Source organism: Homo sapiens, chromosome 1 (assembly GCF_000001405.40).
Source record: "Homo sapiens chromosome 1, GRCh38.p14 Primary Assembly".
In the NCBI taxonomy this organism is placed as follows: Eukaryota; Metazoa; Chordata; class Mammalia; order Primates; family Hominidae; genus Homo; species Homo sapiens.
The window spans coordinates 192,390,324-192,403,406 of NC_000001.11; positions in this window are offsets into that span (position 1 = coordinate 192,390,324).

Sequence of the window (13,083 nt, forward strand, 5' to 3'; positions counted from 1 at the left end):
TTTGATGACCAAGAGGGCCTTAACATTCCCCTCAGCTTTACTTGACTTTAGACTCTAGACCCTGACTTCCCTTTTCTTAGAGCATTTACTTGGAAAACATCTTGTAATTGTAAATGCTTTCTCTGCCTCTTTGAGAAGGTAATGTTTTTACAAGCCTCTTGTCTGGTTTGTTTGTTTGTTTATTTATTTATTTATTTATTTATTTATTTATTTATTTATTATTAAAATGGAGTCTTGCTCTGTCTCCAGGCTGGAGTGCAGTGGCGGGATCTCGGCTCACTGCAACCTCCGCCTCCTGGGTTCATGTGATTCCCCTGCCTCAGGCTCCCGGGTAGCTGGGACTACAGGGGCATGACACCACACCCGACTAATTTTTTTTGTTGTTGTTGTATTTTAGTAGAGATGGGGTTTCACCATGTTAGCCAAGATGGTCTCAATTTCCTGACCTCATGATTTGCCCGCCTACAGCCTCCCAAAACGCTGGGATTACAGGCGTGAGCCACCATGCCCGGCTGCCTCTTGTCAGTTTTACAACCCAGGAATGTCTTTCTCAAGGACCTGGGAGCCATCCCTTTGAAATGTAATCATCAAAGAAGATAGCGCCTTCACCTCCCAGTCTCTATGGGAGGGTAGGAGCCTAACGTTGGTGGGCACCTTGTTCCAAGTTGTAAAATTACCTGCTATCACAAAGATAAGGAAAACTTTATTTTCCACTTGGTAAGGTCAATTAGCAAACACAGATGACTTTTACTTTCCTCCACCCTAGCTCTTAACAAATCCCTGCCCTTTGTTTCAGTAGATCTGGGGATCCAGATTTGGTCTGTGTTCTCTTCCTGATTTCTAAACTATTCTAGCATTCATATAAAATCAAACAAGACCCCAAATAGCCAAGGCAATTTTAAGTAAAAAGAATAAAGCCAGAGGCATCACATTATCTAACTTCAAACTATACTACAAGGGTACACTAACCACAGCAGCATGGCACCGGTACAAAAATAGATAGACACGGAACAGAATACAGACCCCTGAAAAAAAAAAAAAAAGACACACATACAACCAACTGATCTTTAACAAAGTTGACAAAAATAAACAACACCATTTAACAAAGTTGACAAAAATAACACCATTCAACAAATGGTACTGGGAAACTGGCTAACCGTATGAAGGAGAGTGAGTGAAACTGGACCCATAGCTCTCACCTCATACAAAAACGAACCCTAGACAGATTAAAGAATTAAATATAAGACCTCAAACTATAATGCCCTAGAAGAAAATCTAGGGAATACTCTTCCAGATATTGGCCTAGGCAAATAATTTATGACCAACTCCTCAAAAGCAAATGTAACAAAAACGAACAAAAAAATTGGAATCTAATTAAGCAGGAACTTCTGCCTCAGCCTCCCAAGTAGCTGGGACTACAGGCACATGCCACCACGCCCAACTCATTTTTTTTCTTTTAGTAGAATATATTACCAAAAGAAACAATCAACAGAGTAAACGGACAACCTACAGAATGGGAGAAAATATTTGCAAACTATGTATCTGACAAAGGACTAATGTCCAGAATTTATAAAGTTCTTAAAGAAGTTAACAAGAAAATAAAAGAAAACACAAATTATCCCGTTTAAAATAATCCCATCAAAGGACATGAACAGTAACTTCTCAAAAGAAGGCATACAAGCAGCCAACAAACATACAAAAACACAAATGCAAATCAAAACCACAATGAGATACCATCTCACACGAGTCAGGATGGCTATTAATAAAAAATTAACAAAAAAAAACAACAGATGTTGGCAAGCTTGCAGAGAAAAAGAAGGACCACTTAGATTCTGTTGGTGGGATTGTAAATTAGTTCAGCCACTGTAGAAAGCAGTTTGGAGATTCTTAGAAAACTAAAAATAGAATTACTATTCCACCCAGCAATATCATTAATGGTCATATACCCAAAGGAAAATAAATAGTTCTACCAAAAGGACACATGCACTTGTGTGTTTATCAGAGCGCTATTCACAATAGCAAAGACACAGAATAAACTCAGGTACCCATTAACGGTAGATTGGATAAGAAAATGTGGTACACATACACCACAGAATACTGTGCAGCTACAAAAAGAATAAAATCATGGCCTTTGTACCAACATGAATGCAGCTCCAGGACATTGTCCTAGGCGAATTAACAATGAAACAGAGAACCAAATAGCACATATTCTCATTAATAAGTGGGTACTAAACACTGGGTCCACACAGACACAAAGATGGGGAAAAAAACACTGGGAATTCAAAAAGTGGGGAGGGAGGGACAGAGGGATGAAGGGTTGAAAAGCTATTTGTCAGGTGTTATGTTCACTACTTGGACGATGGTATCGGTAGAAGCCCAAACTTCAACATCACACAGTATACCCAGGTAATAAACCTTCACATGTACCCCTTGAATCTTAAATTTAAAAAAATGAAAAAATTAACTTACTACTGTTAAACTTGTTTGGTGTGATTTATTTAGCAGGTGGGTCTTGAGGAACGCCATTCTTCACATACATTGTGGCATCTCTATATTGTAGTGATGGGCACTGAGCAGATAACACAAGAGGTCAGAAAATAGTTCTTGAAGAGGATAGAACATGTCTGCTTTCTGTTTCTTAGGTGTTTAACTGTCAGCACAAGAACCAAAAAAAAAAAATTATTAACAGAAGCAGGGGTAGATTATGGCAGAAATGTTCTAGTTCCATAATTTTGGAAGCTATCACATCCCTCCACTCTGCAGTGGAAGAAGCATTCCAAAGAGAAAAAGGATTTTAAGATCACAGGGGAGAGAAAGCACAGGAGAGAAGAAGAACAGAGTATCTATCATTCATTGGGAGGCGAAACTCTTTAAGAATCATGTGGAGGCTGAGAGCAGAATGGAGAGAGCAAGAAGGCTCTCAGGGCAGACCACTCATACAGCGCCTCTCTAACTTTTTATTAAAAGGAAAAAGAGTGGGGAGATTGCTTTCGCTCATTAGCAAATACCAGATACTTTTTAATTTATATTCAATATGAAGATTTAATAATATGTGATTATCTGAATCAGTTGTCCTTGGAAGTTAGTCAGTTGAAATTCAGAGAATAAAATAAAATGCTTGTTTCAGGTAAACAGCTCTCCTCATTCAGTTTTAGGATTTCGGCAGATTTCCACTACCACATTCTGAAGACTATGACTGGTGAAGGGACCGTGTCATTTACTTGGACAGCTTTCATGTGTCCCTTTAAAAAGAGAGAGGTCATATTAAAGGTCTGCTGAAAATGATTTTTCTCTTTTTATTCGATGATGCTGTCTTCTTCAGTGGACAGACATGAAGCTCAATACTTTTGTTAAGAGCCCTGCACAGAAACCTGAAGTCACAGCATCATATTTTAAAATTTATTCTTTGTTGACTGGAATCTCAAGCTACTTATATTCTACACTAACACTGAATGGGGAAATTTCTGTTGAGTTTCATGACATACTAAGGTAAATCTGGTCATGGGTCACTGAGAAAATGAAGAAAAAGAAAGAGAAGGAGGAGAAAAAGGAGAAGAGTATTAGCATTCAGTTTCCAGTTGACAGCAAAATGTCCTCAGAATATCCTAAAGAAAACGAAATACCTACTTCAAATGGGTAAGGGATTACTGTCTGCACAGAGGAGAGAATTTTCCATACACTTAGACAATGCAAATTTAACATCACAGCCACCTTACATTAGAAATGTATTCATCCCAACAAATGTGTACTGAGTATCTTGTATGTTCCATCACCATAGCAGGTAGAACAGATACAGAAGTGAACAAGATCAACCAGGCCCTGCTTTCATGGAGCTTACATTCTATTGGAGGGAAAAAGAGTCAATCAATGCAGCAAACAAGAATATTTTAAGAAATGATAATTGCTTGAAGACAATTAAAATAGGATGATTTGATAGAAAATGTTTTCATAATTTTATAATTAGATTGGTTACTCAGGGAAGACCTAGCAGAGGGTAAAATAATTAAACTAAGAACATTTGCAGCTTCATCCATGTCCCTGCAAAGGACATAATCTCATCCTTTCTATGGCTGCATAGTATTCCATGGTGTATATGTACCACATTTTCTTTATCCAGTCTATCATTGATGAGCATTTGGATTGGTTCCATGTCTTTGCTATTGTGAATAGTGCTGCAATAAACATCCCTGTGCATGTCCCTTTATAATAGAATGATTTATACTCCTTTGAGTATATACCCAGTAATGGGATTGCTGGGTCAATTGGTATTGCTGGTTCTAGATGCTTGAGGAGTCACCATGCTGTCTTCTACAATGGTTGAACTAATTTACATTCCCACCAACAGTGTAAAAGCGTTCCTCTTTCTCCACATCCTTGCCAGCCTATGTAACAAACCTGCACATTCTATACATGTATCCTGGAACCTAAAGTAAAATAATTTTTTAAAAATAAAAAAAAGAACACAAGAAGGGCTTGACCATTTGAAGATCAAGAGACAGCTGGTGTAAAGACTCTGAGGCAAAGGACTTGATTGTAGGAAGAATGGAAAGAATCTCAGTGGGCTAACAGATGGAAATGAAATAGGGAGTAGGATAAAATGGGGGCATAGAAGATCATTGGAGGGATTCAACCATGGGAAGAACAGCAACTCAAGGCATTTGTACTATGCAGTGAGTCTGGAAAGCCAAGTCCTAGAGCACTGGATCCTTGGGAGACCCAACTGAATAAGAATAACAACAACCATGAATTGGTTCAATAATACCCAAACCACTTGCTTTACAAATGTTTTTGTTATATCTTCAATTGCCCAACAATCTAACCTTCACCCCATTTTACAGCTTGAAAAACTGGAGTTTAGAGAGGTGATATGACCTAAGACTTCATAGTATGTAAATGGCAGAATCAGAATTCATAATATTTTATGAATTATTGGATTTGATTCCTTGGTGAAAGACATGAGAGGAACATAAGAGCCCTTTTCTGCCTGCTAAATGTGTCCTTATCTTTCTCTCCAGGAGCCCCAAGAAATAGATTCCATTCCAGGCTCCTCTCTGCTTTCTTCTCTGACTCAGCCCTGTCTTCTGCTTCAGTAATTGAACAGGAGGAGTTATAACTCGCTGGGAACCTCTGGTCTAGGCAGCTGCTCCTCCGAACTACTCTTAGAGGACAGATCCCACCCCAGAGAAATCATCTTCAGAGGGACCACTCTAAGTTTACTCCTTGAAATTAATTCTATCAACATAAATTCAGTGTTTTCAAAAGGAGTAGGAACTTAGAATATAAGTATTTTATTGTAATATAATTTTACAGCATTTACTATTTCCTATATAAACATGGTAAAAAAAAAAAAAAAACTAATAATATAACTAATCAAAATGTCACAATTCCCCAGTACCCTAGAAAGCCAGTTGGTAGCAGAGAGTGTCCTGCCATTAGTTCACTTATACAGGTGACTACTTATTTTCATATTAAACAGAGAAGTTAGCATACTTAATGCTGTAGGGCACACTAAAGGCAAGATCACAAGTTTAGTGCATTATGGTTCCAAAGCATTGCAAAGTAACTTTCAAATTGCAAGTTTCTCTAAAAACAAAAGTGAGTTTATTAAACTTCTACTTGTGATGAGACTATAAGGAAAAAATAAATTGCTCTAATTTCCCTCTGAATAGGAAAAACTAATTTTATGTAAGGAACATTCCGTGGACTTTTATTTAACCACACACACATTTGACTGAGTGTGTCTGAAGTACTTCAGCACCTCTTGGTATGTCATCATTCTGAACTCGTTTAGAATTCAGTGAACCATCACAGAGCATAACATATTCATTTGGTAACCACTTGGATGTCACACTCATTTCTATAGGTATTCTATTGTAATTCAACATTACTGGGCACTCAGGAAAAGCGTTAGCCTTAATTTCTTTACTTGCCCCACTGTTAGAATTCATCCTCTGCATATAAATCAGCACATTTGCATGTACAATTTATTCTTGATCTGAGCTTTATATTTTAAAGAATCTCTTTTTCCTTATTATCACGTTTAAATGCAAATTGTTTGATACACTGCTAGTCTATTACAGTTGTGAACAAACTTATAAAGCAAGAGATTCCATAGGTTCAAAATCGCTGCAAAAGTTAGCTGACTTTGCCTTGTTTTTTTTTATTTTTTTAAAAAGTCCATTGTGCCTAAATAATATAACATATTCTTGCCATTTTTGTTCCCCAGCTAAATTCAACCAGATCATGTTAAAATATAAATACCTATGGAAAATCAGTCTTAAATTTTGGGAATTATGAGGAATGTCATCCCTCATGTAGAATGTGGCCTCTATATTTTAGTGATAAAAGTTAAGCAATAATACAGGGGTTCATATAATGGTCTTGGAAGTGGATAGAATGCCTCTGCTCTCTGATTCTCAGGGGTTTTACTGCAAGTACGAGACCTAAAAAGTAGGAGTAAAAATGACGTGACTGGAAATGTTCCAGTTCTAAATATAAATATAGAGATAGAGATATTAACCAAAAGTATAACAATTATAACCTGTTGAGCTAAATCCACAGGGTCATGGCAGATAGATAGATAGATAGACAGACAGATAGATAGATATAAACACACATAATATGTGTTTGTGATAAAAATTTTCCATTATTAAAAATCATAACTACTTAAGCTAAACTACAAAATACATAAAATATATATGTAAATATAAATGTGAGTGTATTATACAGTGATACCTAAAGAGTAAAATTATTAACTTTTGGTCATGGAACAATATTATTTTTAATTATAACATAACTAGCTATAACTAAGATCTAAAATATTTCAAAAGTAAGATCTCATATAGCACTCCAATACTTCATTAAAGATGTAAGATGATGTTAAAACCCCATTTTATAGAATACAAAGTAAAATGGAGGTTGATTTTTGGATTTGTAATATATTGAGTTCATCATGAATATGAAAGGGCTGAATCTCACTCCATATTTTTCTATTGGTTTTAAATTGCTTAGCTGTCTTCAAATCTCAAAGCCAATAGATTGTGTACTGAGAAAACAAGATTAAAGGCAGTAAATCATTGCTAAATTAATTTATTCATATTTCTTGTTAGCCTTTTAAAAGCTGAATAGTAAATGAATGAATAAATGAATTGTAAACAAAGAGATGCATAGACCTAGTTTTAGATTCTGGCAGAGATATCAAGACATATTTATAAATACCCACAGTGTCCTGGGTAGACTCTTTGCTATTCCCTGTGAGGAAACTCCACCTTCCATTAACTATCCCCTACATTTTATTTTATTTTGTTATTTTATTATCGTAACTCAACATAAGATCTACCTTCCTAAATGTTTAAGTGTAGAATACATTATTCTTGACTATATTACAACATTATATAGCATATCTCAAGAGCTTCTTCATCTTGCTTGACTAAAACTTTATATTCATTTCTGACCCTGAGCTTAAAACTGATAAGCTCTACTTTCCTAACAGCACTAAAAAGAACTTAACTGAAAAATAACTGAAGTAACATATTGTCTCCTTTAAACAGTGTGCCAGTCAAGTAATATAGGAAATAAATGTTGATTTTTATTGTGTATAATTATGCCAGCTGAGATGTGTGTATGTGTGTACACATAAAGAAAATTTGATTTAAGAGAAGTATCAAGAGAGGGCTTTTAAAGAATCATAGTTTCCTTTTTCCACAGTCTCTACTTTCCCATATGTTGTTCTTATTTTTAATTCCTTAGGGTTATAAATCTGCCAAATGCTATGTAGTTAACACAAGCTCACATCATGGAATATGTTGTGTTGTAGGGGCAGAAAGGTGTGATACCTTTCCTTACCCATCATAGGGGTCACAGCTGACACTCCTGTAAGAAAAGATGGATTAACAAGAGAAAAGAATAACAAATGTATTTATTCAAAATGTTTTCTCGAAGCAGAAGCCTTCTGAAATGAAGACCCAAAGACTGAAGGAAAAATGTGTATTTTTACTCTTAGGTTTGATGAAGAATGGACTGTGCAAATATGATTGTACAAAAGGGTATGAGCTAAAGGAATAGACTGAGGCAGAAAACCCAGCAAAGCCTTCTGTTCAGATTCTTCTTGGCCTCTTTGTGTGGCATTTCTTGCTCCCGGGTATAAGGCAAGACCCTTCTGGAATGAGGGTCTTATAATCTACCAGCAAACAAGGTAGGTCAGATAATTTCTTTATGACCAGCTCCTACACAGAAAGATGGAGGAAGGAGAGAGTAATATTTCCAGTTTCTATGGCCTTCCTTGGGGAAGGAAGGGGAGCAGGGGAAAGAAAGGCAAGAAAGAATCAGGAAGAGACTTCACTTCTGAGGCCCTTCCAATGTCCTTCAGCTCAAAGTCCTCATCAGGCCAAAGCATCATACTTTGGGGTATTGTTTTCAGAGTCCTAACAATACAAAAGAAAATTTTATTTAAAAGAAGCATTTTCCTATCTCAAAAATTGTAATTAGAGGTATTCATGATTCTGCAATGCAGTTTTGTATTTAGAATATTTCCTGAGAAATACTATCAATCAGTATTTTTAAGTAAGAAATAGAAGATGTTTCAGTAAGTTTTTGTCATTAAAAAGAACCTAGATTTTGTTATATTTAAAGTGTCCTGAATGACTAAATAATGTCTACTATATAAAATGAAACATTCTTTCTTATCATTCCAGAATGATTTTTCTTTGACCTTGAGATGATAGTCATACTATACTAAAATTCTGGACCTTACCAAATATAATGCTGTTTATCTTACCATGCTATAATATTGACAGCTACTAAAATTTCCCACCAGGTGATGGTGAAACAGTATTTCTAGCAAATAGATATTAACCCCTTGCCTAATGAGATTAATTTGTTTCCCGGTGAGTTGGAGATATGTCTGTAACAATTTCCATTCAGAGGATATCTGCCTTATCAGAGATGGCAGACAAACATTTAATAACCCCCTCATCTCTCTTCCTTTTTCCTGACCTGTTTCCTAAGAGGACAAGCCCGGTTGCTGAGCAACAGACTACTCTGGAAAAGCTGTAGCGCTCCACCTTCCTTTGCTAGTAAAAAGCAGGCAGATGAAAGCAAACCTAAGGTTTGGACACCAGGAAGGAGTATGAGCTAAGCCACTTTTTCGAGGCTGGGACAGCATTGCAGTCAATCTTGGAGTTTGTCAGCCAAATAATTGCACAGTTGCAGAATATTAGACACTTTTGTAATAACAGTTACTAAATCAGAGTGAACTGAACGTTTTAGAAGAACTAAAATTAACTAGCCTAAGTCTCAGAACATTTAATGAATCAAAAAACTATTGTTTAGTCCTAAGGCAATAACTTTTGTATTCTCATGTGGCTTACACTGAGAAGCATGGCAATATCTAATTTACTTGTTTTTATCTCTCTGTCTATCTCTCTATCTATCTATCCACCTATACATTTATTCATTTATGTTGAGGGGATTTGGGTTTATTTATAAGCACACATATTCTATCAGAAGGTTATTTATTAGATTTTCCCTGACTTCGATTGTGCTGTCCTGTAGTTTATATAATTGATTTTAAATTGAAAATTCACCTAGTTTTTCAGGAATTAAGACATTTCCTGTTGCTTTCTGTGAACAAAAGAATAGTCCTGTTTACATACCCCTAAATTGTTTATAATTTTAGCATCACTTCATCATTGGAAGTGAGTTCCCAATTTTTACTTTTTTGATAAAGTTGCTGCTCTACCCAAACTTTTCAACAAATCAACAGGATTTAATTAAAAATTAACAAGATTCAGTTAACATGTCCTTGCTGTATTTTGGAACTTAAATGAGACAAGATTTCACTAAAGATAGCTTAGTCTCCATTGAAAGTAAAAGATACAGGAGAGCCATGCCAAAGTGCTGTATTAAAGTAACTGAAAGAATGAATTCTTTCCACCAATATTTACTGAGGTGTGAAGCATCTCTCTGAGTCACTGAAATCAACCATGGCTGAAACTGGCATAGTCTTGCCTTCATGGGGCTTATAGTCTAGTAAACATGATAGACATTTTCAAAAAATTATCATGTGCCTATTTTTCTTCCCGCAGTATCCGGATGCTGAGGATACAACAGTAAACTAACAGGCATAACCTTTGCTTTGGGGAGACTACAGTTTCAGCTGGAAGAGGCAAATAATGAACCAAGGCTCACTTGTATGTTGGTCGGTTTGACCTGCACCATGAAAATCAATAAATAAAGCAGCCTAAGGTGGTAGAGAATTAAAGATGACAGTGCAGGCAGAGGTAAGAGACATTATCAAGGGACTGGTTTTAGAAAGGTCATTTTAGAGTTTGACTCCATTTTTGGTGTTTGACCTCAGACAGCTTTAGATCCCATCTCTTCCATTTTTTCTCTTGCTCCGTTATCTGGGCAGATCATAAGAAAGCCAGGTGGGTTCCCTCCTTTAGTGACAGTAGAAAGTTCCAACTATGTAAGGCCCCACTTAACCTGGGAAACTTCACCTCGCCTACCCTCAAAGTACAATAAAAATAAAAAATCCTGGCCTGTCCCTTCTCTCAGGCCAGCTTTGGAGCCTGTGCTGCCTTCACCAGAAATCCTCCTTAGGAAAGTAGCACAGCTCTACATACCTTCATAGTGTGTGTGTGGTGTCATTAGTCTTAACATCCAGACCAAATTTGGTATTGGGGTTCATCCCACCTTCCATGGGATAATAGTGGAATAGCTACTTGGATTTTTCCTTTAGCTGTAGGAATTTTTAACATTCAGAGAATGTGATCAATGTATATGAACAAATCCAGTTACTAACTATTTAACAATTACTAGTTAGGCTTTTTAGTAGTTACCAATACATTAGCATTAAACAAACAAACTTAAGACACAGAAAGGTCTAGAATTTCAGCTACACAGAAAGATCTAGAATTTCAGCTAAGACAGTTAATATGTCGTGCACTCTACCTGCACGCTTCACATTTGTTGTGCTAATTACTTATGTCACTTTGAAATTTTCATAAAATAAGAATTAGTAAATAAATAATTATATTAGCTAACTCAAACAAAACATTTATATAGAATACTCATCTCAGTGACAAGAGATCCCTGAGAAGAGAGAACAAAATTGCAAATATGAAATATTCCAGACACAAAACATTTCAGACAAGTGCCTAGTGTTCATATTTTGTTTCTCTCTTGAAAATTTTCTCTTGTGAATTTTTAATTCTTCTGCTATATCAACAAGAAAGCATAATGTAGGTGTTAATCTATATTTAGCATCTCTCTATAAAGTGTGTGAATCTCCACATTAACAAGGAAGGCATTCTCTCCAATCCACTTGGTAGTTAAGAGTGGCATGCAGGAGTGACAGGACTGACATTCCGGGGAGAAGATGGGCGAAAGAGAATACAAGAGATGATGAGCAGGGGACCCAGAAGGCAGCAGCGACTCCAGGAACAGGTGACAGTTATATATCCAGGGTACACTATTAGGTGAACAGCAAATATTTGAAACCTCAAGTTCTGAATCTAAAAATCAAGGGTATTTCCTGAATAATAGCACATTATATAAAACAAATTGACCTCTTTATCTATAGATGCTGTAAATTGCAGCTATTTCAATAGAAGACACATGGGGTGTGATAGTTTGCTCTGAGGCGGGCATTTCATGCATTTTTTAAAAGTGAAACCAAAGTTCTAAAATAAGAACAGTAATAGGAAAGAAATGTAGCAGAGCCAGTGGGAATTCTTCATGATCCCACATGTAATTGAACAGCATGAATACAAAACCAATTGCATATTAGCTGTCCTGACATGACTGTCTGGGCACCTTTCAAAACAAAATGAATATTTCCTATTATTATTTTCCCTTTTATCACCAATTTTGTTCTGATTTAACACTCTCACAGTACTTTTTAGGCATCTTAACTGAACCCAGAGTTTTCTTAACTTCAAAGCAAGCACTGAGCATTACAAGTTCTAAAGAGGTATGAATATTGAAAAGAATTATGTCCCAAACCATAATTACTTAATGTATGATAATTGTAAAAACAGGATTTCACCAGGCTCTCTTGCCTGATTTTACTTGATAAGGGTGAACTTACTAGATTTTTTTCATAATCATGAGTAAAAAGTAACCCCCAAATTACATTAATTCCAAAATAGTCTTAAAGAATCTAAAAATAGAATAGGCTTTGGGGTTTTATTTTAACTTGTCACCTGAGGGTAAGAAAATGGATCAGATTATTAACTCAGAATTTCTTATTTGAACTAAAAAACTATGTTCCTATACCACTTTAAACCTTATTAATTTTGTTTTTTTTAATTTTATCTAAACAGAAAAAAATGAAGCACAGTAAAAACATTTACACATTGTTATCACATCAAGAAAAAACTATAGGATATACTTCCCTCTCCTTATCAGACTTGTTCACATAGTTTGAAGTGCAAAGCAATTACAGTCTAAATTCCATGTTGACATTATAGGAATTATCCCTCTCTCCATAGTGAAGCCTCTAAGGTGCTTTTGTCTTAAGGTTGCTTTTTTTAACTTGGAAAATCCTGATGTAGGCTCTCATTTTTACAATGTCTTTTTCATGAAATGTAACTGAGGCTTTTAAGAAAATAATTAACATTTTATGTTGCAACTTTAATATATCACTTCATTTTGACCTCAATAAATAACTTAAATTATTTTGCTTTCTTCCTTTTATGTAAATATTATTTTCAATATTATAGAGTCCAATTCTTTTTTTAAGAGGAAGAATTGGTATATTTCATTAAAATTACAGACTTAAATAGTCAGGGTTGGTATCTAATGCAGTCGGTGTTCAGCTAGAACAAAGAGAGACATTGAATATAATTCTTGCTTGAGCATGGCATTCGAGGCTCTTAAGACTCAAATCCTTGTTCCTTATGTCCTTTCTTCTTTCAATCGTGACATCATCTTAGGTCCCTATAGTGTTCACGTCTACAGCTCTTCAACATCTCTCATCATCTTGGTTACTTGTTTCCAGACAACTTCACTTCCTTTCTACTTATTCACCCTTTTCCATGACCACACCCTCGACTTCATCATAACCTAACAGTTCTTCCT